Genomic DNA, 26,497 nt, shown 5'->3' on the forward strand with positions numbered 1-26,497 from the left:
GTTATGTAGCCTTTTCAGACGGACTAGTGATATGGTTTGGCTGTGTCCCCACCCAAATCTCATCTTGAATTGTAGCTCCCACAATTCCCACATGTTGTGGGAGGGACCCGGTGGGAGGTAATTGAATCATGGGGAAAAATGATTTGAGCATCTATCATCACAAACAACCCCATTCTATCTCTAATAATGACTTTTGCGGGTCTTTGCAGTGCTGTTCTCATGATAGTGAATCAGTCTCACAAGATCTAATGGTTTTAAAAATGGGAGTTTCCCCGCACAAGGTCTCTCTTGTCTGCTGCCATATAAGATGTGCCTTCACCTTCTGCAATGATTGTGAGGCCTCCCCAGCCATGTGAAACTGTGAGTCAATTAAACCTCTTTTTCTTTATAAATTACCCACTCTCAGACATGTCTTTTTCAGCAGCATGAAAATGGACTAATACAACTTATTTCACTTAGTAATATGTATTTAAGTTTCTTCAATGTCCTTTCATAACTTGATGGCTCCTTCCTTTCTTGCTTTCTTTTTTTTAATTTTAACTATACAATAAAGCACTAAGCTAAAGAAATTAAACTATGGAATATCTATCTGCTGGCTGGTGGGGAAAATGTGAGGAGCCTGGAGCTTCCTGGAAACACACAATTTCCTCCACAATCTTCGCTGACCTTCCCTTGAGTTATCCCTCTTCCTTTTTAACATTCCTCTTGATTTGAGCCTCTATCATCACAAACAACCTCATTCTAACTCTAATAATGATTTTTGCCTTAAAGTATTATGTCTGATTTTAATATAGTTATGCCAGCTTCCTTCTCATACTGTTCACATAGTATATCTTTTTCCATCATTTTATTTTCAACCTTTCTATATCTGTATCTTTATGCATCATTCTGTTAATATATATCAATCCATCAGTGACTGATTCTCTGATTCCCTAATGTTTAAGCAATTTCCTTTTTTTTTTTTTTTTCTTTTTGAGACAGGGTCTTGCTCTGTCACCCAGGCTGGAGTGCAGTGGCACGATGATGTCTCACTGCAGCCTGAACGTCCCAGGCTCAAGTGATCCTCCCACCTCAGCCTCCCAAGTAGCTGGGATTACAGGCACACATTACCATACCAGGTTAATTTTTTTTTAATTTTTTGTATAGACAGAGTCTCACTATGTTGCCCAGCTGGTCTCAAACTCCTGGCCTCAAGCGATCCTCCCACCTTCACCTCAAAGTGCTGGAATTACAGGCGTGAGTCACCACACGAGGTCAATCTACTATTCTTGACCTCAGCTATTGGCTGTGATATATTATCATATATAGAGAGCTGGATTTGGTTTGCTACTGTTTTCTTCAGAAGAGAAAGCAGGATGTTGCTCAGCCTGGGAGGGTCATGCCCTTGGTTGAGTTAGCTCTCTGCAACTGAAACAAACTCTAAAGGATTTGAGACCTGGAAACTTTCTGCTAATCCCACCTCCCAAAGTTGGGGCAGTTCACATCCAATGACTGATAGAAGTAAGGTATAAAGACACAGACATTTTGGCTTAATCTAGCATCTCTGATGGGCCGTGTATGGTCCAGAACATCCCATAGGAATGGCCAAAGCTTTGTCACAATTGCATCACATTTTGACTTTTCCCTCTGCCCAAGACTGCTTCCTCCTCCTCTCATCCACGGATGTTGATTCCTAATAAATACTCTGTACACCAAGCACAGTCTCGGCATCTACTCCTGGAAAACCAGCAACAAGGTCAGCAGGGCTAGCTAGCTTCATGGGCAGCAACCTATGCAGTCATAAGGGCCCTGCTCCAAGAGGGGCCCCATGCTTAGGTTAATACTCTTGTCAACTAACGAGTGGTGAGGTTCATAAATTTTGAAATAAGAGGTTTATTTCTCATGAAGTGTTGCAATCTGCAAGGTGGCCATTCCTACAGGCTGGGAAGTGTAGCCTGTGACAGAAGTCAGAAGCAGGTACTTCGAGGCAGGGATGGATAAAACAGGAATGTATAATGAATGGCTTGGCTAAGTATACATATTTAGTACACAATAGGAGGAGTCATGAATATTTATGAAAAGAGAAACATGTGCATGTGCAATTGGGCTTCATGCCTCTTTATGCGTCACATGTTCAAAAAATGATGATGCTTGCATGATCCAAGGGTGGAGTTTTTGGCCCTCTGACATCAAAAGGTGAAACAGAGAACACAAAAACCATCAACGTGCATCTTCTGCAAACTGCTGAGAACCACTCTGTGGTCAGTGATCTCTTACCAGGAAGGAATGCTGGTTAGTTGCTGTGTTAAAACCACAAAAAGGCCAGGCACGGTGGCTCACACCTGTAATCCCAGCACTTTGGGAGGCTGAGGCAGGTGAATCACGAGGTCAGGAGATCTTCAAAACCATCCTGGCTAACACGGTGAAACCCCGTCTCTACTAAAAATACAAAAAAAATTAGCCGGGCTTGGTGGCGGGCGCCTGTAGTCCCAGCTACTCAGGAGGCTGAGGTAGGAGAATGGCGTGAACCCAGGAGATGGAGCTTGCAGTGAGCCAAGATCACGCCACTGCACTCCAGCCTGGACAACAGAGCGAGACTCCGTCTCAAAAAAAAAAAAAAAAAAAAAAAAACCACAAAAAGGAAGGGGGAGTCCAGTCATGGCCTCAGATGACTGGCTAAAGGCAATGAAGTAGAGTCATCTGTATCTTGTTCCCCAGGGCTGATTTCCGTGTACTCCTTAGGAAAAATTTCTGGTTAAAGATGAATAAGGATAGGGCATATTGAGGTGTATCTGACCTCCCATCCCCTTATGGCTGGGAACTCAGTTTTTAAGGTTCCTCTGGGGTCCACTTGGCTGAGAGGCACTCCATTCAGTCGGTTGGGAGGCTTAGGATTTTATTTTTATTTCTTACTCTGCTGTCATCATCTTGAAAATATAAATTTTGGTGCTCACTTCAGCAGCACATATACTAAAATTGGAATGATACAGAGAAGATTAGCATAGCCCCTTTTTAAAAAAAAAATATATATATATATAAATTTTGATGGCTTTAGAAATGATTTGCAGAGAAGTGAGTCAGAAAAATCTTATGACCAATCAAGATTTCACATTAATAAAGTATTATTATCCATTGTATTATATAAATTGGTGAAACAAAAAATGGTACATTTTTGCAATTTGTAGGTTTAGTCATTACTCATATATCACTATTATCCCTATTACATTTTATAAAAATTGTTTTTTTAAAAAAAAGCTTTATATTTTAGGGGTTTGTTCGTTTGTTTGTTTTGAGACAGAGTCTCACTCTGTTGCCCAGGATGGAGTGCAGTGGCACGATCTTGGCTCACTTCAATCCCCACCTCCCAGGTTCAAGCGATTCTTGCCTCCCAAGTAGCTGAGAATACAGGCGCCCCACCACCGTGCCCGGCTAATTTTTGTCTTTTTAGTAGAGACAGGGTTTCACCATGTTGGCCAGGCTGGTCTTGAACTCCTGACCTCAAGTGATCCGCCCACCTTAGCCTCCCAAAGTGCTGGGATTACAGGCGTGAGCCACCGCACAGGCTTTATATTTTAGTATTTTAATTACAGTTTTTTTCCTGCATTTTTAACAAGATAAGCACATTTTCATTTTGCACCCAGCGCTATAAATTATGCAAATTACATACCCAGCAGGGAGGATAGGTTCCTGTGAAGATGATTGTCCCTGGTTGTCCTGTAGGAGTCTAGGAGAGAAGAGTGACACTTTAAGCTATTATCTGTTATTTGCAACTTCATGTGACTGACTTTCAGATACTTTGATGAAAGAAGACTTTTAAATGTGTGAAAAAGATCTCCTCAGGGCACTGCATACAAGGAAAACAGGGAGACTACCATCAAGGTGGGAAAGGGTGATACAACAGGGCCAGGGACCTGATGATAAACTCCAGATTTCACCAAGAGTTAGGCTTTGTTAGAATCCTGTTCCTAACAGGACACAAATCACACAGCGAACTATTAAAAATGAGAGCAAAGCACACAGCACAACTATTAAAAACTAAAAATTAAGCTGTCATTTATATGAGTCATTAACAAAACTCCCTTATCACCAGAAGTATGCTAACACCATATATAAAATTGAACATGTGGGGACATCATTCAACCTCTTGTTTAAAACTGGCTTTGAATGGCCCAACTCTAGAGAATTAGAATGCTTTTTATTATCTGGGGTCCTCTGGAGAGAGATCAACTTCTCAGAGTTCTAAATAGAGAAAATTATCTGGAGTTAATTAAAGTACGCCAATACTGTCATTTTCCACGTGGGGTGGAAAGAACTAATGTGTAGTTAGGATATCAGCAAAAGGCTAGTAGAAACACGAAGTCACTGGTAAATTGAATGCACAACTCCTGGGAAGTGATCAAAACGCAACTGTTTTGTATATTCTGCTACTTGTCTGTTTGTTATTTCTATTATATGTCTATGGCCACCTATACAAAAAGTGAGGGCCCTATTTTCATGTGAAAGGAACCGCCACAGTTAGAAACACTCTAACAAAGGGTAGTGGAGTAAACCAAGCCACTCCTGTTCTAAACAGATTTTAGATTCAGAAAGAATCGCTCTCTCTTTTTTTTTTTTTTTTTTTTTTTTTTTTTTTTGGAGAGATAGGATCTAGCTATGTTGGTCAGGTTGGTCTTAAACTCCTGGCCTCAGGCAATCCTTCCTTGGCTCCCAAAGTACTAGGATTATAGGCGTGAGCCACCACGTGCCCAGCCAGATTCAAAAAGAATCTATTGAATAGGGGGGAAACTAAGTAATTCAAGAGACTTTGTCTATAGCATTTTGACTATATCTTCTCAGTAAGGACAAAACGAACTATAAACAAACATTGAACCCTAACCTAGTTGGTAGTTGTAATTTTCATGGTAGTATGGGTTTGTGATTCTAAAACTACTTTCTGTGTATTCTTGAATTAAATAAATAAATAAATATATTCAGAAGGATGAAAGCAATATCTCTCACTGTTGGAGAAGAGAATTACAAATATGGAAAGAGGGAAGGTTAAAATAAATCACATTGTGGTCATTTGGAATTGGAGGCCAATTTAAATTCAAGTGGCAGGGTATAATTTTTTTTTTTTTTTAGATAGTCTCTGTCACCCAGGCTGGAGTGCAGTGGTGCAACCTCAGGTCACTGCAACCTCCACCTCCCGGGTTCATGCAATTCTCCTGCCTCAGCCTCCTGAGTAGCTGGGACTACAGGCATGTGCCACCATGCCCAACTAATTTTTTGTATTTTTAATAGAGATGGGGTTTCACCATGTTGGCCAGGCTGGTCTCGAACTCCTGGCCTCAAATGATTCACCCACCTGGACCTCCCAAAGTGCTAGGATTACAAGTGTGAGCCACCACACCCAGCTGGGTATAATTTTTTTTTTTTTTTTTTTGAGACAGTTTCGCTCTTGCTGCCCAGGCTAGAGAGTGCAATGGCACGATCTCGGCTCACTGCAACCTCCACCTCCGGGGTTCAAGCAATTCTCCTGCCTCAGCCTCCCAAGTAGATGGGATTATAGGCACCTGCCACCACGCCTGGCTAATTTTTGTATTTTTAGTAGAGACAAGGTTTCACCATGCTGGTCAGGCTGGTCTCAAACTCCTGACCTCAGGTGGTCCACCCACCTTGGCCTCCCAAAGTGCTGGGATTAAAGGAGAGGCTCTGCACCAGCGTGGGTATAATTTTTTATGAGTTAAAATTGTATTTTATTTATTTACATTTATAAAGAGAGCATTATGTTTAGATTTATGTACCTGGTTTTTTAAAAACTCGTTTACCTAATTAATGAGAGAATGAGTGGGATGGTAAAGTTGGTTTCAAGAGAACTTGAGAGATTAAGTATTATAGGCACTGAATAAAAGATGTTAAAATAGAATTTTGGGGTGGTATACAAAACTGGTTAATGTTATACAGGGCAAGAAGACTATAACCTTTGGGATTTAGGGTTTTTGTTTATTTGTTTGGTTTTTATTTTTTATTTTAGCTTTTGTTGTTTTATTTTTTTTCCCTGAATGAAATTATTAGTAGCTATACTAGACAAAAATCTACATGCTAGTATGTAACGTTATGGTCTTGGCCCCATTCAATAGTGAATAACAAATCAAATCAAGGTACATTCTCCTAAAGAATAAGAAAATTCATCCTGGCATGGTGGCTCACACCTGTAATCTCAGCACTTTGGGAGGCCTAGGTGAGCAGATCACCTGAGGTCAGGAGTTCGAGACCTGACCTGGCCAACATGATGAAACCCCATCTCTACTAAAAATACAAGAATTACCCGGGCATGGTGGCAGGCACCTGAAATCCCAGCTACTTGGGAGGCTGAGGCAGGAGAATCGCTGGAACCTGGGAGGCAGAGGTTGCGGTGAGCCGAGATCTTGCCACTGCACTCCAGCCTGGAGACTCTGCCAAAAAAAAAAAAAAGAATAAGAAAATTCTTGGCTGGGCCTGTTAGCTAGAGAGTGGACAGAGTGTCCTCTAATACAGAGAACAGAGATCTGTCTGCCTTGAGGCAATAGAAGCAATTCCAGTAGCACTAAGCACCCAGATCTTGGTTTCTAAATACTATTCCTCACTAAAAAGAAAAAGAAGAAAAAAAAAAGGCTCCTTGAAGAAATGCTTAATTTCCCCCCACAAAAAAAGAAATGTTTAATTCCAGAACTAGGGCAGAAAAATTATAAGTGGAATCTGGAATAGCTTCATGTTCCAGGAAGTAAGGGGGTGCTCGAAGAATGATGAGGACACGGCAGAAGGGCACAGGAGCTGTCCTGAAGGGACTCTCCCTGGCAAAATCTGGGGCAATTTGAGCATCAAAATAAATAATAATAGTAATGCATTTAATCCATTGAGTAATATAGGAACCTATCTGCCCTTATTTATGTAAATAACTGGGAGATAATGGAAAACTCTTCCTAGCAGTCGTATACCAGCCAATAAAGGAAGAGGAAATATTATAATTTTTAAAAACACTATTTTATAATAATCATAGTAGTGGTTGGTTCAGGCAATGAATGTAAAACTAGTAGGTAAAAGTTTGTTGAGGAACAGAATATGTATATGGTCTCAAAGTAGTTCCCAAAAAATAATTGATTAATTTCAAAGGTATTTTAAAAATAGTAATTTTACAATGAAGAAAATGACAGCCACCACCTTCACTAAATTCTCGAAATTATCATCATCAGAAATGGGGCAAATCGATATCATGTGCCTCCTGATGTAATGTCCTGAGAAAGACATATCACTTTTATGATATTATTGCCAAAAATGCATAACTTCAATCTATTCATAAAGAAACATCAGACAAATCCAAATTGAGAGGCATTCTACAAACTAACTAGAGTGTGTTCTTCAAAAATGTCAAGGTCACAAATGACAAAATAAGGCTGAGGAACTGCCCTAGATTAAAGAATACTAAAGAGGCATAATGACTAAAGGCATTTCATGATCCTGTATTGGATCATTTACCTGAGAAAAAAATTATGAAGGTTATAAAAGATATTATTGGGACAATTGATGATATTTGAATATCAATTAGATTAAATAATAGCAATATGCCAGTGTTAAATATTCTGACTTTCATACACCCTGAAGTACTTAGGAGTAAATGGGCACAATGTCTGCAACTGATTCTCAAGTGGTTCAGAAAAAATATACACACACAGGCACACAGCACATATATGCATATGTAATGGGGATATAATGCTATGTATATGCATATAATGGTGTGTATGTAGATGGATGGATGGATGGATGGTAGAATAATAAAGCAAAAATGAAGCAAAAGGTAAATAATTGGTGAATCTGGGTAAAAAATATGCAGGAGGGGTTTGGACTAGTCTTGCAATTTTTCCATAATTTTTGATAAAGCTGAAGTTTATTTTTTTAAAAATCCTCCAAAAGACCCCCCAAAAGATTGGTGTCAACCTCCATCATATCAGTTCAGGGTGTGTAGTCTTAGGCAGACTGGTTTGGCCACACTTCCCGATCAACTAACAGGGAACAAGTGAGATGAGGCTAACGAGGCACCATCCTCCCCTTTGGATCATAGGCAGAAAGGACCAGAGTGGCAGGCGGCCCTCCAGCACATGAGGCTCATTTCTCAGTGGAATGGCCAGGGACAGCCCCAAGCCACAACAGACTCACCCCCACATACACACTAATACCTGTGGAGGGGAAGCCTGGTCTCCTCTGGCCCCTGGCACTCTCTATCCGGAGGCCCTGCTATCTAAGATGTGTTCTTAGTCACAGTGCTATGAACCTCGGACTTCTTGCAGGAGAACAGGGAGAAGAGGCCTCAGAACATTAGTTTGCAGCTGCAGCTCCCTCTCCTGCATGTTTTCATGAAGGAAAATACCGTTAGACATTAAACACCCAACGTTCAAAATCTTAGACACGAAGTTGGGAGAAAAGGGAATTAGTACTCATCAGATTTTTTGCTGAAAAATGAGAGATAGTTTTAGGGGGCGGGCCCAGTGGCTCACACATGTAATTCCAGCACTTTGGGAAGCCAAGGCAGGTGGATTGCTTGAGCTCAGGGGTTCAGCATCAGTCTGGGCAACATAGCAAAACCTGGCCTCTACAAAAAATTACAAAAAAAAATTAGCTGGACATGGTGGTGTGTGCTTGTAGTCCCAGCTCCTCAGGAGTCTGAGGTGGAAGGATCATTGAGCCTAGGAGGTCAAGGCTGCAGTGAGATATAATCAAGCTATGATCGTGCCACTGCACTCCAGCCTGGGTAACAGAGTGAGACCGTGTCTCAAAAAGAGAAAGAGAGAGAAAGGGAGAGTTTTAGGCTAATTTAAACAGAAAACATTTTTGAAAGATTATTTTATTGTTACAAGATGGACTGTGATTGATGTAAAAATACCAACAGACACAGTAAAAAGATATAATTCCTCTAAATATAACTAGAAGACACAAGAATTTCACAGCATGACCACAGCTGTACAATACAGGACGTTAGCCGTGTTCAGAGTCAAGTTCCTCCTGCCTTCGAGTGCCCAGGAAGCTGCCCTCCTGTCAACAGTACCCAGCCACAGGAATGAGAATCCTACTAGGTCCTCTGATAAGCTCATTTTGTCATTATTGCCTTTAATTCCCCAAGTGGCAATCCCCATCCTAAATGCTCTAGAAGGCTCGTTTCCATCCTGGCTAAAATATCCTGATGGGCTGACATGATCCAACCAACTGCAAACTGAGAAATAACGTCTCCAACTTGCCCTGCGCACATTTTCTCCCTCCTCTCAGGAGCCAATGTGAGCCAGTCCCGCACATTCCAGAGCAAATAGTGTCTGGACTGAATCGATGGCTACTTGTAGGCCTCTCCAGGATCCAACCATCCCACGTAGGTCTTCTCGAAGTGCTGTCCACTCAGAGAAGATCTGGCTGAGGAAACAGACACACAGAGGCCACGCAGCCAGAACCACAGCCCAAATCAGCCCATAGGAACAAGGTGGGGAGACCACCACTACTGCCCCCTGCTGGACACTGGGCAAACTCCTTCGCGGAACTCACAAGCCCTGTGTGTCCCGGCACCTGCTCTCTTCTCTGGCCCCATCTCCCATCACCATCCTCATCTGACAGTCCACACTACAGCCACCGAAACTTCTCTCAGTTCCCAGCCAATTACTCAGTCATTTTGGAGCCCTCTCCCCTTCCTATCCTCTCTCCGTCTATCCATCCACCCTTACACTAATTGAACTCAGCTCTCAGGCCCCAGTTGATGACTTCCTCCCTTAGGGCCAGGCACGGTGGCTTACACCTGTAATCCCAGCACTTTGGGAGGCCAAGGCAGGTGGATCACTTAAGCTCAAGAGTTCAAGACCAGCCTGGGCAACATGGTGAAACCCCGTTTCTATGAAAAATACACAAAGTAGCCAGATGTGGTGGTGCACACCTGTAGTCCCAGCTACTCAGGAGGCTGAGGTGGGAGGATCACTTGAGCCCAGGAGGTCAAGGCCACAGTAAGCCATGATCACACCACTGCACTCCAGCTTGGGTAACAGAGAGTGACCCTGTCTCAAAAAAAAGACTTCCTGGCCATGCGTGGTGGCTTGTGCCTGTAATCCCAACACTTTGGGAGGCCGAGGCAGGTGGATCACTTGAGGTCAGGAGTTTGAGACCACCCTGGCCAACATGGTGAAACCCCATCTCGACTAAAAATACAAAAAAAAAAAAAAGAAGAGTCGTCCGTGTTTGCACGCACCTGTAATCCCAGCTACGCAGGAGGCTGAGGCAGGAGAATCACTTGAACCTAAGAAGCAGAGGTTGCAGTGAGCCAAGATTGCGCCACTGCACTCCAGCCTGAGTGACAGAGTGAGACTCCATCTCAAAAATAAAAAAAAAAAATTAAATGTAAAAAGACTTTCTCAGTGTATGTGGTATATCCAAGACAATAGAATATCATTCCACCTTAAAAAGAAGGAAATCAGTTGGGCACAGTGCCTCACACCTGTAATCCCAGCACCTTGGGAGGCCGAGGCACGTGGATCACGTGAGGTTGGGAGTTCAAGGCCAGCCTGACCAACATGGAGAAACCCCATCTCTACTAAACATACAAAATTAGCCAGGCGTGGTGGTGCATGCCTGTAATCCCAACTACTCAGGAGGCTGAGGCAGGAGAATTGCTTGAAACCAGGAGGCGGAGGTGGCGGTGAGCCCAGATTGCACCTTTGCACTCCAGCCTGGGCAACAAGAGCAAAACTCCATCTCAAAAAAAAAAAAAAAAGGAAGGAAGGAAGAAAGGAAATCCTGTCACGTGCCACAACATGGATGAAACTTGAGGATATTATGAGGATATTATGCTAAGTGAAATAACCCAAGACTCCCCAAATCTGGGTGAGGATCCTCAGTAATTTGTCTCCATAGCGCTTACCACAGTGAATTGCAATGGCCTGTTGCCCATTGTCTATGTCCTCTGTAAGGACAGTACAGTATCCTGTTCACGGTTGAAGCCTCAGTACCCAGCATTATGCCTGGCACGTTATGTGTGGTCACAAATAATGATAGATAGACAGATAGATACATAAATAGATGGGTCAGTTCATGAGGAACTCAGTATCAGACTCCAGAGGGCTTTGGGATCTGGAGTCATGACTGCCTGAGATCCAAAACAAGACATTTTGCCAGTTTTACTTGTTTATGCTGAAAAGCATCAAAGGCCTTTTGAAATAGAGGTTTCCTTTTCCATGGCTAAATTAGGGGTTTTCTTGCTTTGAAATAACAATACTGCTTTTTGCCACGTGGTGGAGCCAATACAACATCAAACGGGCCCCAGGAGGCGCCATTTTACCGTCATCACCTGCCTGGGCAGGACCACCCGCTATAGCTCACAGTGAAGAGCATGATTGTGGTGTAATAACTTTATTACTACAGGCTTATTTTTGTTGTTCAGGAAATCTTGGTGACCTTTAAAACTTCCCAAGACACACAAATCATTCCAGTTGCACAAAAGGATGGAGCGGGTTATTTTCTCTCCAATGAGAGCCTGTCAACCTGTTGGTGCAGAAATACATGTGCAGGCTGTGTTTAATTGTGAGTGGGGGTTGGGCGCGGTGGCTAACGCCTGTAATCCCAGCACTTTGGGAAGCCAAGGCGGGTGGATCACCTAAGGTCAAGAGTTCGAGACCAGCATCGCCATTATGGTGAAACCCCGTCTCTACTAAAAATACAAAATTAGCCGGGCGTGATGGCAGGCATCTGTAGTCCCAACTACTCGGGAGGCTGAGACAGGAGAATTGCTTGAATCCAGGAGGCAGAGGTTGCAGTGAGCTGAGATCATGCCACTGCACTCCAGCCTGGGTGACAGAGCGAGACTCCTTCTCAAAAAACATAAAAAGTGAAAATAAAAATAAAAATCGTGAGTGGGAATAGACTAGGAGAAGCCCCCAAATTATTGTATCTTCATAAAGCCAAGCTCACACTTGGGAGGCTGAGGCAGGATAATTATGGAGGCCAGGAGTTCCAGACTAGCCTGGGCAATATAGCGAGACCCCATCTCTACACACACACACACATATACACACACAAATTAGCTTGGCATGGTGGTAAATGCCTGTAGTCCTAACTACTGAGGAGGCTGAGGTGGGAGGATCACTTGAGCCCAGGAAACGGAGGCTGCAGTGAGCTATGATCATGCCACTGTACTCTAGCCTGGGTGACAGAGCAAGGTCTTGTCTCTTAAAAATAAAAAATAAAAAGCCAAGTTCTTCTCCATCAGGGCCTGCTTCTGAAGAGTGGGCAAGCAGGACCATGGGCCTACAGTCCTGCTATCAGAAGAAGTTCTCATGGACCCTGGAACACCTGTGATGGGGCTCAGGAGCCTCTCCACCAGAGCTGCCTAGAGCCCTACTCCTTCCCCACCAGCCTGACCACCACACTCACCTCTTTCACCCTTCACTTCCAACCCCTCCAATTGCCCTTACAAGGTCCTATAGCAGCTAGTCCCTCCCCACCTCTCGGCCTCACCTCTGGCCTCTTCTGGCCCTTGACAAAGATTCTTTGCTTGACCAAACTTTAGTGAGCCTCCTGATCCTTTCCTAGGCCCATCTGTGCACTTCCTTGAAAAATTCAGTTTTAACGAGGACCCTGCTAAGTCAGTTTAGCTAGAACCCCTCAACACCTTGCTATCTGATCATCCCCAATATCTAACTGTGCTCCTCATCCTCCACCATCTAGGTGATGTCCAATGACCCTGTCCTGTCTTCAGCAAGACTCGGTTAGGGGGTTTAGCCAGAATCCCCCTTATTCTTTACGTTTACTCTTAGTAATTATCTGTCACTGACCCCCACTCTGCTTCTTGGCTATGCATTCCCACCTGGCCGTGCCATATTCCGAGTTGAGCCCAATCTCTATCCACCCCGCAAAACCCCATTGCAGTGGCCCCTATGCCTATTGCAACAGTCCTGAATAAAGCCTTCCTAATCATACCTCAACAAGTGCCACCGAATAATTTTTTCTTTTCTTTGACACCAATCTCACATTACTACCACCACCCTCCCCCAGGACCCTACTCCCAGAACACACTCAACCACCCCCATCCCTACATAGAATGCTCAGGGCGCCAAGGGGGCGTCCAGGGACTTCATGGTTTCTAGCACTTTGTAGTCCACCGAAATGCCCCCAGGAGTGGCAATCAAGTGGAGAGGCTGGGCTGTGTGTTGATGGCCAGTCTGGTCCCAAGTAGACCCCATAGAGATGTCCTGGGCCCTTCATCCCCCCTCCACACCAGCACCAGCACCCACAACTTAGGGACAGACCAGTCAGCCCCAGAGAGAGAGAGAAAGAGAGAGAGGGAGGAGGGAGCAACAAGAAATGCTTGCACAGCTCTGTTCTGCAACATTCTTATCTTTCTCCTAGAGGAATTCAAGCATTAAACCCTGGGGGAGGAATCTTCTGGTTCTCTTGTAAAGGAGGGTACACTCCACCCCACCCTAAACTCAGACATTTGAAGCAATCCTAGTGGATAGTAAATCTGGGCTCCTCAAAGTTCTCAATTCAGGGACTCCTTTAGCATGACACAGGGCCCAGGGAGCATTTCCCTCACCCTAAATCAATGATTCTGACATCAAAGATGCCAACAAGTTTTCCCTGGGAACGCTTTGTGCCTATGACCCTTCGTTCAACAAACCTTTACCAAGCACCCACCAGGTGCCAGGCACTATGCCAGGATCACAAAGGTGAACAAGAAAGACATGGTGTCTCATTCAGAAATGGATGGGCTAGCGGGGAAATGGACACTAAATATTTGTATCACCAGGTGATACGCGCTCTCACAGAAGTTACATAAAACGTGCCAAGATGACAGCTCTAATTATTCACTATTGTGCTTTTCAGTTTATATTCAAGTCCACATTGCAGAATACATGTTAGAGAGCACTTATGTCTTGACATGACTTGCACTTTTGATCAGTCCATAGACTGCTTGAGTGGAAAGAAATTCCTCTAAGACACTCCCTTCTGAGTATGAGTCAGAAAGCTGAGGTCTCCCCAGCATAGCCGGGTCAGGGGCAGGGTGACAGGGCCTCCCGACACACGCAGCATCCAAGCAGACTGAGCAGAGCCTGCAGAGCGGGCAGCAGGATGGGACCTCTCCCGAGAGTCTGGAAGCCCCAGCTGGCTCCGGCCCTCTCTAGGGCTGCGGGACCCTCCCTTCTCTGGCCTCAGCTTCTTAGCTGCCTTGGTTAGACTGGACAGGAGGAGACAGCTCTGCCCTCCTTTCCACCTCTGAGCTTATGCTCTTGTGAGTCTCATTCTTGCCATGAAGAATTGAAGAATCTTTGTGCTCTGAGTCAGAAGCTATGTGGCCGCTTTGCTAAAATGTGACTCAAACACAGCCTCAGCCCTGAGGCCCCTTTCATTATATTCCCTTATTTGGTCCCAGGCAGCATTTCCATATTCTCTCTGGGGAGCTGGTGGGCAGAGCCTTTCTGTGGGCCAAGGAGGAGCTCAGGTGCCAGACACTCAGACTCTGATGGCTCTGTAGCTAACTGGCCCATCCTCAGAGACTAACGCAAAGGAACGAATTTCCAGGATGTTCGACTATGTGGAGAAAACAAAAAAAAAGCAAAGAAAAAAATATTTTTAAAGAAAGAAAGAAGGCCAGGTGCAGTGGTTCACGCCTGTAATCCCAACACTTTGGGAGGCCGAGGCAGACAGATCACCTGAGGTCAGGAGTTCAAGACCAGCCTGGCCAACATGGTGAGTCAATACTAAAAATACAAAAATTAGCCAGGTGTGGTGGTGCACACCTGTAATCCCAGCTACTCAGGAGGTAGAGACAGGAGAATCACTTGAACCCAGGAGGTGGAGGTTGCAGTGAGCTGAGATCGTGTCACTGCACTCCATTCTGGGCAACAGACTCCGTCTCAAAAAAAAAAAAAAAAAAAGAGAGGGAAGGAAGGGAGGGAGGGAGGGAAGAAGGAAGGAAGGAAGGGAGGGAGGGAGGGAGGGAGGGAGGGAGGAAAGAAGGAAAGAAGGAAGGAAGGAAGGAAGGAAGGAAGGAAAGAAGGAGGCTGGGCGCCGTGGCTCACGCCTGTAATCCCAGCACTTTGGGAGGCCGAGGTGGGTGGATGATTTGAGGTCAGGAGTTCAAGACCAGCCTGGCTAACATGGTAAAACCCTGTCTCTACTAAAAATACAAAAATTAGCTGGGCCGTAATGGTGCACACCTGTAATCCCAGCTACTAGGGAGGCTAAGGCAGGAGAATTGCTTGAGCCTGGAAGGTAGAGGTTGCGGTAAGCTGAGATCGCACCACTGCACTCCAGCCTGGTTGACAGAGTGAGACCCTGTCTAAAAAAACAAAAAAAAAGAAAAGGAAAGGAAAAGAAAGAAAAAGATGGGAAGAAACAAAGGAAGGAAAATAAACTACATTATATGGAGAATTATTTGGACACCATCAAACTTCCACTAGCTGTCCCTGAAAACCGAAATTAATATGCTAAAAAATTACTATCTCTAAGTCCATAGAAAAGTCTCCTCTGTATATACATCAAGAAGAGAGCAAAACGGGGAGGATAGGACATAACCCACCTCCCAGAGAGAGAAGCAGCCCGGCCAGTGGAAGTGTCCTGGTGATATTCCCCCAAGCACTGCTACATTTCCAAGTGGCCCCTGTGACTGGAAATTAGAAGCATAGGAGTTATTGACCTAGGTAGATTTTGAGGCAAAAAAATCCACAAAGGTACAAGAAGAGGAAGGAGAGGAAGGAGCTGGTGAAGGAGATTGAGAAAGAACAGCCAGGAAGGTGGAAGAAAAACCAGGAGAAGGAGGGGTCCATGGAAGCAGAGGGAAGAAAGTAAGGGAATGGCAACAGTGGCAGTGGCAGCTGCTGGACACAGAGAGTAAGAACTGAGAAGGTTTCCCTGGATTTCGAATCAAGGAAGTCATTGGGGACTGTGACCACTGCACTTCGCAGGGTGCTGACAAGTAAGGCTTAGAATGTTCATTTTCTCCCCCATTTGCTCTGCAAACCACATTGCCCCTGTCTAGGACAGAGGTTCCCAAAAGCAGTTTTGCATTCAAATGCCAACTCCACTACCCACTGACTGTATAACCCTGGGTGACTCATTGAGTATCTTGGTGTCTCAGTTTTCTCATCTGTAAACATGGAAACAATGACAAGACCTATCTTATAGGGCTATTCTGAGGATTAAATGAGTAAATATGTGCAAAGCATTTGATTTTTTTTTTTTTTAGATGGGGGTCTCTCTATGTTGTGCAGGCTGGTCTCAAACCCCTGGGCTCAAGTAGTCCTCTCACCTCTGCCTCCCATTGTGCCGTGCCTGGCCATTTGCAAAGCACCTGAGATGAGGATGTGTTCTCTCCAGGCTGCTCCAGCCAATGACAACACAGTAGAGGTACTGGGCTGGCCATTTCTGCCCAATGCAGACTTCTATTGGCCCAGCTTTGCCCCAGAATCCCCACTGGGTTGGCCAAGGCTTTCTCAGAGTGGCACTGCAGTCTATGGATCCTCCTACCACACCGCCTTTCCTTCCCCATCTCTTTTCATAGGTGTAAGGCTTATGTTATGGGCTGAAGGCTTTTCTGGACTACTCCTGTTCTCTCTCCCCTCCAGTTACACAGGACTTACCCCCAATAAGTCTCTTGCATGTCTAACTTCGTTTTGGCATTTGCTTCCCAGAGGACTCAAGTTGACACACTTGGTTAAACAGAATTCTCTGCTACAGGACTTGTCAGAGCCTTTAATATTAAAATATACACATTATAACTCATCAAGAGGGAAAAGTATAAAGCATTTCCCAAATTCATTTGATCACTAAAAACCACACACTCACATCCACACATGCCACAGACCCTCTCATGAACATCTCATGAAACATGTTTTGCTGAGTAAAGTTTGTTTAACATTGAACTAGGCCAGCCGTGGTGGCTCACACCTGTAATCCGAGCACTTTGTGAGGCCAGGGCAGGCAGATCACTTGAGGTCAGGAGTTGGAGACCAGCCCGGCCAACATGGTGAAACCCCGTCTCTACTAAAAATACAAAAATTAGCAGGGCATGGTGGCGCATGCCTGTAATCCCAGCTACTCAGGAGGCTAAGACACAAGAATCACTTGAATCCAGTGGGTAGAGGTCGCGGTGAGTCGAGATCACGCCACTGCACTCCAGCCTGGGCAACAGAGCAAGACTCTATCTCAAAACAACACCAAAAAACATTGAACTGAAGACCCCTAAAGTTCCATCCAACCCTGAGATTCTTTCATATGAATCTCAAAGTGTGAAACGCCTCAGTCGCCTAGGGCCTTATTCTACAGAAGGGAAGTCCAAAGGCTCATTTGAATTGCATTAGCAACTCGAGCTATATTTGTAAGTCTCCTCCCATCTGAGAATTTCTTTGTCAGCAACGTTTTCCCTATTCTACAGATGGAGAAATTGAGGTCTAGGAAGACCAAGACACTTGTCTCAGACCCACAGTTGAGGTCTTAGTTTGCCACTGAGTCACGGTCCGTGTGACACAAGGATGGAAAACCAAAGGGAGCCATAGCTGAGGGAAGGGAAATGAGAAGGGTATCTGAAATGTCGGCCCTGCAATAAGGTGGGCCACAGCAATAATGAGATGTCACTGGGCTCAGCCCTGTGCCTGGAAGGAGGGAGGTGGTCAAGGATATCAACAAAAAAATAGTTGCTGATCCCAGGAGAAATACAACACTGAATTGAGGGGAAAACACAGAAACACATCTAGACTGTCATTAAACAAATGTAACCGAGGCAGGGGAAATGTGGAGCCCCAACGTGAGTAGGTGATGGAGTTGGGTGACTGTCATATGTCACAGCAGGATGGGTAGTTGGCTGCCCCCAGCCCCCTCCTGCCGCTCCCTGTTCCAGCACCCTGGCCCACCAGCCCCTTCCTGGCAACTCCCATACTCCCCCAGTTCATCCACTAAAGGATTAATAGCTCACTCAGGGGAGGCTTCCTGCCCCTCGGCCAACACCAACTTCCCTTTCAGCAAGCCAGTGTCGGCACTACAGTGGTTTGGAATACTTTCAATATCACTCCCTGTTAACAAGCCTATCCTTGGACTGGCTGAGAAAAGAAATGGAACGGGGCAAAGTAACAAAACAAAGAGGCAAGACAGAGCCAAATGTCTCCTATGGTTACCTAAATCACAATTTAGACAAGCACTGGTGATTCTTGCACATAGAGAACCACCACTGAACTGTACAGGGGAAACTGGTTTCTGCCCCAGAGATGTGTTGGGGAAATGACATACTGACCACCATGACTACATCCTCGGAAGACTGAGTGGCAGAGTGCTACTTTGGCTTTCTTACCAGGTGAACTTGAGCATATATCTGGGCAGTTCTAGAATTTCGATGTGGGAGGGACTTAGGGATGAAAAAAATAAAATGTGGATGGTAGATGGCATTTGGGGCAGGGGATTGGAGGCTTGTCTTGTAGCTGTTTCTGCTTAGTAAGCTCCCTGTTCTGGCTTAGAGACATATTTATTGGGGAGCTTGCTGATGGGAATTATGGACGGGGCCAACTCCTCTCCCAGCACCCTGTGGTGCTGACATCTGAGGTGATCACTTCCCATGGAGTGGAGAAAAGCATGCTGCTCTATATTTGTTCCCTACAACAGGAAGCGTGAAAACAGGATTTGCTGCCACATGTCAAGTACTCATGTGCCTGTAGAAGAAAGGGGCCATTGCTGCTGATGATAACAATGATAGCATCTAAGGTTTTATAGTTCCCCAAATAATTTCACATACACTGTGATTTGATGCTTATAACAACCGTGTGAACTATGCAAAGTAGGTATTATTTCCCCATTTTAAGAGATGGGAGAATGGATAGTTAGTATTTTGAAAATTGCCAGACCCCACACTTATAAGACTACATGTATTATTAGTAAAATTACTACTAGGGGACCCCAGCTATGAAAACCTCTCTGGGAGATAGCACTGGTGGGTGAGGGGCAGCAGCTTCGGCTCTTGCCTCCTGGCAAGGGTGGGATGTAATACCCTAAGCTCCAACAGACTGGGGAAAGAGAAGGGGCTTAGAAAACTGTCTGGGCTGCTGGATTTCTTTCCGGAGTTTCCCTCTCTCCTTCTACTGTCAGCACGTCCCATCTTTTGCAACACCAGGGAGAAGCCTTTCCATGCCTCTTCAGCTCTTGGAATCCCTCCAGAAGCCCCCTCCCTCCTGAGTGGCATCTAACAGGCCTGTCCAATACTCATGCTACAGCTATGAGGAAAGAATAAACCCTGCAGCTGCTTCAGAAGAGAAAGAAATCTCTTTTCAAATGAAACCGTTTTTTGCAGCCCTGTGGAATTCATATTCTCTGTGATCTCCTTTGGATTCAAATCACGGACCTGAAAGAGGGAGGGGAAGAAAACAGGTTCTTTTCCTCTGCCTGGGCCTGCCGTTCCCTCTGCCCTCCTACACTGGGTATGGACAGACCCCAAGGGACCATGGTCTAGGTGTTGGCAGCCAGGCTGGCTCTACAACACAACATGTCAGCTGCTCTGCTGGGCCTCTGTTTACTCATCCATTAAATGAGGAGATAAGATCTCCCTTGACTGGCTGTGAAGATTAAGTGCACAAATATGTGTAAAGTGCACAAATATGTCAAATAAAAACTGAGACTGACACGTGGAGGTGCAAAATTAAAAAGGAAGCTTTGGTTAGTATCTCCAGAACCTGGCTAGGCACGGTGGCTCACATCTGTAATCTCAGCGCTTTGGGAGGCCGAGATGGGTGGATCACCTGAGGTCAGGAGTTCAAGACCAGCCTGGACAACATGGCGAAACCCCGTCTCTATTAAAAATACAAAAATTAGCTGGGCATGGCAGTGAGCCCCTGTAATCCCAGCTACTCAAGAGGCTGAGGCAGGAGAATTGCTTGAACCCGGGAGGCGGAGGTTGCAGTGAGCCGAGATCACGCCACTGCACTCCAGCCTGGGTGACAGAGTGAGACTCCACCTCAAAAAAAAAAAAAAAAAAATCCAGAACCTGCAGATTGTGCCTCTGATGCATCTCAAACATCCAGGGCCAGGGAGAAAATAATCTAAAGAAAAATACTACTGAAAAAGATTCCATTGCCATGGCCCTCTGAGACACACACATTCTTATTCTCTTATTTTCTCTCTCTCTCTCTCTTCTTCTCTCTCTCTCTCTTTCTATCTCTCTCTCTCACTCCCTCTCTCATTTACTCACAAGGTCAGTGGCCCAGACCCAGGCAGTTCTGGATAATCCCAGCTGTTTCTGACTCACCACCATCCTCAGGGCTGGCTGACTCACTCCAGGAAGGTTTTCCACCATGAAGTGTTTGTCTATGTCCTTGTGTTCCCGTGAAAAGGATTGTGTGGTCAGAGAAAGAGAAGACTTTGCTGGGTCAGTGAGATAGCATAGTGTGAGAGGCTTTGGGAAGTAGAAAAAGCAACATTAACTCAGGTTTAAAAACTAGACTTTGTCCAAATGGTTGGGGAAAGTAGTCATTGTATGTGTTTGCAATTAAATTTGGGTGGCATAGGACAGCCTAAAGCCCTTTGTAAGCAGAGCTCTATGTGCGCAGCGATCCCTAGAAGGCTGGCAAGGGGAGTGGCCAGGGCTGCACCAAAGAGGGTGTTGCCTAGCTGGGGAAGAGGAACTTCAGGTGAGCCAGGAGGCTCTTCTGCTCCCAGGCTGTGCAAAGCTTCTGAGTTGACTGGAATGATAGGTCTGATCTGCCCATTTGTTGCTAAAATGACTTAGGAGGGAAATGACCTCCACCTGCCTGGGAGGAGTCACTTCCTCCAGAGATGAGCTGTCCTTGAGGAGATCAGTGGGAGGAGAAGCCTGCGCTCTGCCCCACTGGGCAGAAGGACAAGCTTTCTCCCAAGAGCCTCGAGCCCAGAAGAAGTCGGGGTGGGGCCAATGGAAATCAGACAGTGGAACAAATGAACAGCTTCCAGGACAGGGCTGTCGCTTTCCTCTGTTTTCAATTGTGATGGCTTCATGAAACCCTTGCACCAGAAACCCATGAGCTAGAAATGAATGCCTGTATCCCCATCTCTGGACTCAGAGTCCAGAGTGCCAACCATTACACAATGGAACCTGTGTCCCCGCCTTATTCAAGAGTAAAGAAAGCAAAGCCTGGTGGTGGACGGTGGTACCTGCCCATCAGGCAGCATGCCCAGACTTGCAAACCAGAGATGGAGGATGTCAAATAAAAACAAAACCATGGGAGACTGAGGCAGGAGAATCACTTGAACCGGGAGGCGGAGGTTGCAATGAGCCAAGATCGCGCCATTGCACTCCAGCCCGGGCAACAAGAGTGAAACTCTGTTTAAAAAAAAAAAAAAATCCAGACTTTTATAAAGGGACACTTCAATAGAAAGAAAGACTATTGCAGGCCAGGCGCAGTGGCTCACACCTGTAATCCTAGCACTTTGGGAGGCCAAAGCAGGTGGATCACCTGAGGTCAGGAGTTCAAGACCAGCCTGGCCAACATGAGGAAACCCCGTCTCTACTAAAAATACAAAAAAATTAGCTGCACATGGCGGCTGGTACCTGTAATCCCAGCTACTCAGGAGGCTGAGGCAGGAGAATCACTTGCACCCGGGAGGCGAAGGTTGCAGTGAGTGGAGATTGCACCACTGCACTCCAGCCTGGGCAACAAGAGTGAAACAAGAAAGAAAGAGCGAAAGAGAGAGAGAGAGAGAAAGAGAGAAGGAGAGAAGGAGAGGAAGGGAAGAAGGGAGGGAGAAAGAAAGAAAAAATAGAGAAAAAGAGAAGGAAGGAAGGAAAAGAAAGAAAAGAGAAGAGAAAAGAAAAAAAAAGAGAGAAAGACAATTCCAATTCAGAGAATCTGCAAGCAGCTCAAAATCAAACAGAAAAAGATTCTTCTTTTCTAGGGTAAAGGAGGAGCAAGTGGAGATAAGCAGACTCTTGGGAGGGGAAGCTGGACAAGTGAGGGGAAATGACCAGTGGGAGCTGACAGGAAAAGGGTCTTGCTGTGTTCAGTCAATTCCCAGGAGAAGCTGGGCAGGGAAGTGACTTGGCAGGGACACTCCACTTTGTTTGTGCTTGTTCAGGCTTGGGGGCAAGCAGCATTCAGGGATCTGTAGGAAAGAGAGAAGTCTGACCAAAGTTTTGTCAAGCAAAGGGGGTAAGCAATGGGTGTCAGAGACAAGAATAGATGGGGGCAGAGGAATAATAGTGACAAAAATACTTGCTTTAAGAAAAGGTAACATCATGGCTCTCATATTAGTATAAAATAAACACATTTTAAAGATTCCATTTCGGCAGGGTGCAGTGGCTCACACCTGTAATCCCAGCACTTTGGGAGGCAGAGGTGGGCAGATCACCTGAGGTCAGGAGTTCGAGACCAGCCTAGCCAACGTGGAGAAACCCTGTCCCTACTAAAAATACAAAATTAGCCAGGCATGGTGGCAGGCACCTGTAATCCCAACTACTCGGGAGGCTGAGATAGGAGAATCACTTGAACCTGGGAGGTGGAGGTTGTGGTGAGCCGAAATTGTGCCATTGCACTCCAGCCTGGGCCAACAAGAGTGAAACTCCATCTCAAAAAAAAAAAAGAGTCCATTTAACTTGATTAAACGAGGCAATCTGGTGGATGTTATAACTGGTTCAAAGGAGAAACCAAAGCAGCACAATTTACATGACGTGAAGAGTACTGAAATGGAATATGCAACTAGACAAAAAACTGGTCTCTCTACAGGGGGACTGTAGTGCCTCTACTGGACAGAATGCATTTGCATATCTATAGGAAAAATTATTTTCCATTGCTACAGTTATCTACAACTTAGATTACTTACTTAGAGTTACTTAGGTAACTATACATTGCTACAGTTATATACAACTTAGAGTTATAAAATAACTCAAAAACAATGAAAGGGGCTCGTGTGGTGGCTCACACCTGTAATCCCAACACTTTGGGAAGCTGAGGCAGGCGGATCACCTGAGGTCAGGAATTCGAGACCAGCCTGGCCAACACGGTGAAACCCCATCTCTACAAAAAATATAGAAAATTAGCCAGATGTGGTGGTGTGCACCTGTAATCCCAGCTACGTTGGAGGCTGAGGCAGGAGAATCGCTGGAACCCGGGAGGCAGAAGATGCAGTTAGCTGAGATCGTCAAGATCCTGTCACTGCACTCCAGCCTGGGTGACAGGGTGCTACATCTCAAGAAAAACAAAAACAACAACAACAACAACAAAAACAATGAAAGGCTAGACCCAGATCTTCTGGAAGGAGATGCTCTAAACCAGGGTTTCTCAGCCTCTACATGACTGATGTCTTGGACTAGATCATGTTTTGGGTGGAGAATGTAAACCAAAAATAAAATTCTAAGCCTCCCCCTCCCCTACCCCCGCCAACCATCTAAATGGATGGTTCCTCCTTAGCCGAGGCTCTTAAAATTTTAACCTGAAATTTTCAGGCCATGAAGGAAAGGCAAGGTCGGACATGCTTCATTATACCTCTCCAGCGTGAACATCAACCAGAGTTTAGGTCTGATAAGAAACATTTTACTGCCTGTTCACTCTGAAGCCTGCTAGCTAAAAGCTTCATCTATGTGATAAAACTTTTGTCTCCACAACCTCTTATCGCAACCCAAACATTCCTTTCTATTGATCCTGGGCCTTTAGACAAACTCAACCAATTGTCAACCAGAAAATGTTTAAATATTTACCTATATCCTGGAAGCCACCCCCACTACCCACCCACCACCCCCCGCCACTTTGAGTTGTCCCGCCTTTCTGAACCAAACCAATGTATTTCTTAAATGTACTTGACTGATGGCTCTTGCCTCCCTAACATGTATAAAACCAAGCTGCACCCCAACCACCTCGGGCACATGTCCTCAGGACTTCCTGTGTCACAGGTGTGCATCTTCAACCATGGCAAAAGAAACTTTCTAAATTAAATGAGACCTGTTTCAGATTTTCTGGGTTCACAAGAGCTATCTTGGACATTGGAAGATGTTCAGCGGCATCCCTGGCTTCTACTTAGTAAAGGCCAGTAGCACCTCATCTCCTAGCTGTGACCATAAAAACTATCTCCAGACATTCCCAAATGTCTCCTGGGGTGGGTAGGGGACAAAACTGCCCCCAGTTGAGAACCACTGCTGTAGACCATGCACAGTTTTCCAGTGAAACCCAAATTCTTCCCTACTACTGTAGAGAAGAAGAGGAGGTAATTTCTGCCCATCTGCATTTCTTGGCACGCACCCATGTCTCTGTGTGTGAGATGAGAATCACACCCTAGCTCCACAACAGAGTGGTCACAGTAGCCAACACAGGCAGTATTCTAAATGCTCTCTCCCTATAGTAACCCAACTAATCCTGCCAGTTAAATATGAGTTTCAGGTAAACAATGAATCATATTTTCTTTTAGAATAAGTATGTATGCCCATGCAATATTTGGGCCCTACATATACTTTAAAAGTATCTGTTGTTTATCTGAAATTCAAATTAAACATTTGGGAGGGTTGTTGTTTTATTGGCCAAATCATTTTATTTTATTTTATTTTTGATATGGAGTTTCGCTTTGTCACCCAGGCTGGAGCGCAGTGGCGCGATCTCGTCTCACTGCAACTTCTCCCTCCTGGGTTCAAGCGTTTCTCCTGTCTCAGCCTCCCGAGTAACTGAGATCACAGGTGCCTGCCACGACGTATTTTTAGTAGAGACGGAATTTCACCATGTTGACCAGGCTGGTCTCGAACTCCTGACCCCAGGTGATCCGCCTGCCTCCGGCCTCCCAAAGTGTTGGGATTACAGGTGTGAACTACCGCACCCAGCCTTATTGGCCAAATCTGACAACCCTATCTATAATCAAATAAACAGCTGAGCAGTAGTAATTGCAGCATTGTGATTGCAATAGGCCTCCGGTGGCTTAGAGTCCCTGTTCTGCCTGTGACTGTTGTGCCACATTGGGGACGTCATTTAGCGTCTCCGAGGCTCAGTTTTCTCATCTGTAAAATGGGGACAATATCAGCGCCTTCTTCAGAGTCGCTGGGAGGATTAAATGAGATGATGTATGCAGAGCCGTTAAGACGCTGTTTGGCACAAAGTTCAGGGCAGCTGGTTTAGTTTCCTCGACTTCACTACCTGACCCTCTGCTAACTCCCCGGGTGTTTTCCGGACGGCCACAACTATCCTAGCCTTCTTCCCTATGGGCTGCAAAGGTGGCCTCGGGTTCCGGTGGGAGCCCCAACTCTGGACCGCGATTCGCGAGCCTCCCCGGCGCCGGGCCGCGCCATCCCGGGAGCTGTCCGCAGATGGCAGCACCGGCCCCGGGTCGCGGCGTTCCCGGCGCTCGGCAGGCCGCAGGATGGCCTGGTCCCGGGCCGGGAGCCCAGCAGGCCGGGAGCGGCTGAGGCCACACCCCGCGGGCCGGGCCGCTTCCCTCCGGTGAATCATCGCTCGCAGCGGCGGCGCCCGCAGTGGCCGCAGCAGCGCGCCGGGCCCTGGCCGCGCCCCAGCCGAGCGCAGCGCGGAGTCGCCCCGACCTTTCTCTGCGCAGTACGGCCGCCGGGACCGCAGCATGGCGGGCATCGCGGCCAAGCTGGCGAAGGACCGGGAGGCGGCCGAGGGGCTGGGCTCCCACGACAGGGCCATCAAGTACCTCAACCAGGACTACGAGGCGCTGCGGAACGAGTGCCTGGAGGCCGGGACGCTCTTCCAGGACCCGTCCTTCCCGGCCATCCCCTCGGCCCTGGGCTTCAAGGAGTTGGGGCCCTACTCCAGCAAAACCCGGGGCATCGAGTGGAAGCGCCCCACGGTAGGAAGCGCGCGGCAGGACGCGGGCAGGGCGGGGTGCCGGGCAGGGCGGGGTGCAGGCCGGCCCGCGGCGCGCTGGGGCGGGGGGCAGCCCGGGTGCTGCAGTGGGGAAGCCGCAAGCCAGGACCTCGCAGTCCTGCGACACCTCCGCGCCGCCAGAGCCCGGGACTCTGTTCGAGCGTGGGGGGACTCCCGGGGCCTTCCCTCTCTTCCACCCACCACGCTTTCCTGGGCGGGTCGAGGCGAATCACTGCCCTCAGATCCCACTAGCAGGCCACTTTAGGACTTCACAAAAACTCAGGGTGATGCAGGAGGCCGGGGTGAAACTTTGATTGGACTCTAGCGGGGAGCTGGAAGGGAAGGGGAATCGGGTCTGCAGGGAAGGGACGGTGAGAGGCAGCATCTACCAGACAAAGTCCGTCTCCAACTGGGGTTCTGTCTGTTCATGGAGGGGGACAGGCCATAGCCTGGTCATTTTGTGACTAAGGATAGTCTCCTGCAGCCCTGGGGTTAGATTTATTTTTCCAAAGGGGAGCCAGCGATACCTCCTCATAACATTGACACTGGTAATTAACCCAGGACACGGAGGTGTCTCATGGTTTCCCTGGCGGGAATCACCCGGGAAACCTCCGGGAGCCCTCCAGACCCCCTTATCCCGTCCCCCAGGGTCTCTGACCTCCCGGCCCTGGGACAACTTGTGCTCCCCAATCTACTTGTCCATTCTGTTTCTTGGGGAACCCCTGAGG

General features: G+C 46.4%; 1 protein-coding gene, 1 long non-coding RNA gene and 1 pseudogene across 6 annotated transcripts in view, besides 7 other annotated features; 2 read left to right on the top strand and 1 right to left on the bottom strand.

The window, feature by feature from the left end:
* Positions 1-20,525, bottom strand: part of LOC105373281 (uncharacterized) — a 29,833-nt gene extending 9,308 nt beyond the window's left edge. The window contains exons 1-2 of one of the 3 annotated variants that reach the window (XR_949164.2): positions 20,243-20,525; positions 3,647-3,703 (exon numbers count right to left, since the gene is read on the bottom strand). This is a non-coding gene — a long non-coding RNA (uncharacterized LOC105373281). Of the gene's footprint in view, positions 1-3,646; positions 3,704-6,286; positions 6,326-16,598; positions 16,949-20,242 lie in introns of those variants that run through there. The other 2 variants (XR_949165.2, XR_949166.2) reach the window with 2 other exon arrangements.
* Positions 2,926-2,989, top strand: RNU6-1248P (RNA, U6 small nuclear 1248, pseudogene; annotated as a pseudogene).
* Positions 13,961-14,807: an enhancer, noted in NCBI's record as "H3K27ac-H3K4me1 hESC enhancer chr1:223888788-223889634 (GRCh37/hg19 assembly coordinates)". NCBI's record gives its function as "activates a minimal SCP1, AML or CMV promoter by ChIP-STARR-seq in naive H9 embryonic stem cells {active_cell/tissue: H9 hESC(naive)}" and the evidence as "EXISTENCE:reporter gene assay evidence [ECO:0000049][PMID:30033119]".
* Positions 14,472-26,497, top strand: part of CAPN2 (calpain 2) — a 74,422-nt gene continuing 62,396 nt past the window's right edge. For 2 of the 3 annotated variants that reach the window (NM_001748.5, XM_047431344.1), the window contains exon 1: positions 25,414-25,752. In NM_001748.5, coding sequence (NP_001739.3) covers positions 25,516-25,752 — 237 coding nt within the window. In that variant the 5' untranslated portion in view covers positions 25,414-25,515. Of the gene's footprint in view, positions 14,707-25,413; positions 25,753-26,497 lie in introns of those variants that run through there. The other variant, NM_001146068.2, reaches the window with a different exon arrangement.
* Positions 19,534-20,733: an enhancer, noted in NCBI's record as "MED14-independent group 3 enhancer chr1:223894361-223895560 (GRCh37/hg19 assembly coordinates)". NCBI's record gives its function as "activates an origin of replication core promoter dependent on BRD2, BRD4, P300/CBP and CDK7 cofactors, and independent of MED14, by STARR-seq in HCT116 cells {active_cell/tissue: HCT116}" and the evidence as "EXISTENCE:reporter gene assay evidence [ECO:0000049][PMID:35650434]".
* Positions 20,734-21,233: an enhancer, noted in NCBI's record as "H3K27ac hESC enhancer chr1:223895561-223896060 (GRCh37/hg19 assembly coordinates)". NCBI's record gives its function as "activates a minimal SCP1, AML or CMV promoter by ChIP-STARR-seq in naive and primed H9 embryonic stem cells {active_cell/tissue: H9 hESC(naive and primed)}" and the evidence as "EXISTENCE:reporter gene assay evidence [ECO:0000049][PMID:30033119]".
* Positions 25,011-25,060: an enhancer, noted in NCBI's record as "active region_2591". NCBI's record gives its function as "activates an Ori minimal core promoter by ATAC-STARR-seq in GM12878 lymphoblastoid cells {active_cell/tissue: GM12878}" and the evidence as "EXISTENCE:reporter gene assay evidence [ECO:0000049][PMID:35858748]".
* Positions 25,100-26,051: an enhancer, noted in NCBI's record as "H3K27ac hESC enhancer chr1:223899927-223900878 (GRCh37/hg19 assembly coordinates)". NCBI's record gives its function as "activates a minimal SCP1, AML or CMV promoter by ChIP-STARR-seq in primed H9 embryonic stem cells {active_cell/tissue: H9 hESC(primed)}" and the evidence as "EXISTENCE:reporter gene assay evidence [ECO:0000049][PMID:30033119]".
* Positions 25,161-25,550: a silencer, noted in NCBI's record as "silent region_1842". NCBI's record gives its function as "represses an Ori minimal core promoter by ATAC-STARR-seq in GM12878 lymphoblastoid cells {active_cell/tissue: GM12878}" and the evidence as "EXISTENCE:reporter gene assay evidence [ECO:0000049][PMID:35858748]".
* Positions 25,761-25,880: a silencer, noted in NCBI's record as "silent region_1843". NCBI's record gives its function as "represses an Ori minimal core promoter by ATAC-STARR-seq in GM12878 lymphoblastoid cells {active_cell/tissue: GM12878}" and the evidence as "EXISTENCE:reporter gene assay evidence [ECO:0000049][PMID:35858748]".

The sequence above is a fragment of the Homo sapiens genome, chromosome 1 (genome assembly GCF_000001405.40).
Source record: "Homo sapiens chromosome 1, GRCh38.p14 Primary Assembly".
NCBI classification, from domain to species: domain Eukaryota; kingdom Metazoa; phylum Chordata; class Mammalia; order Primates; family Hominidae; genus Homo; species Homo sapiens.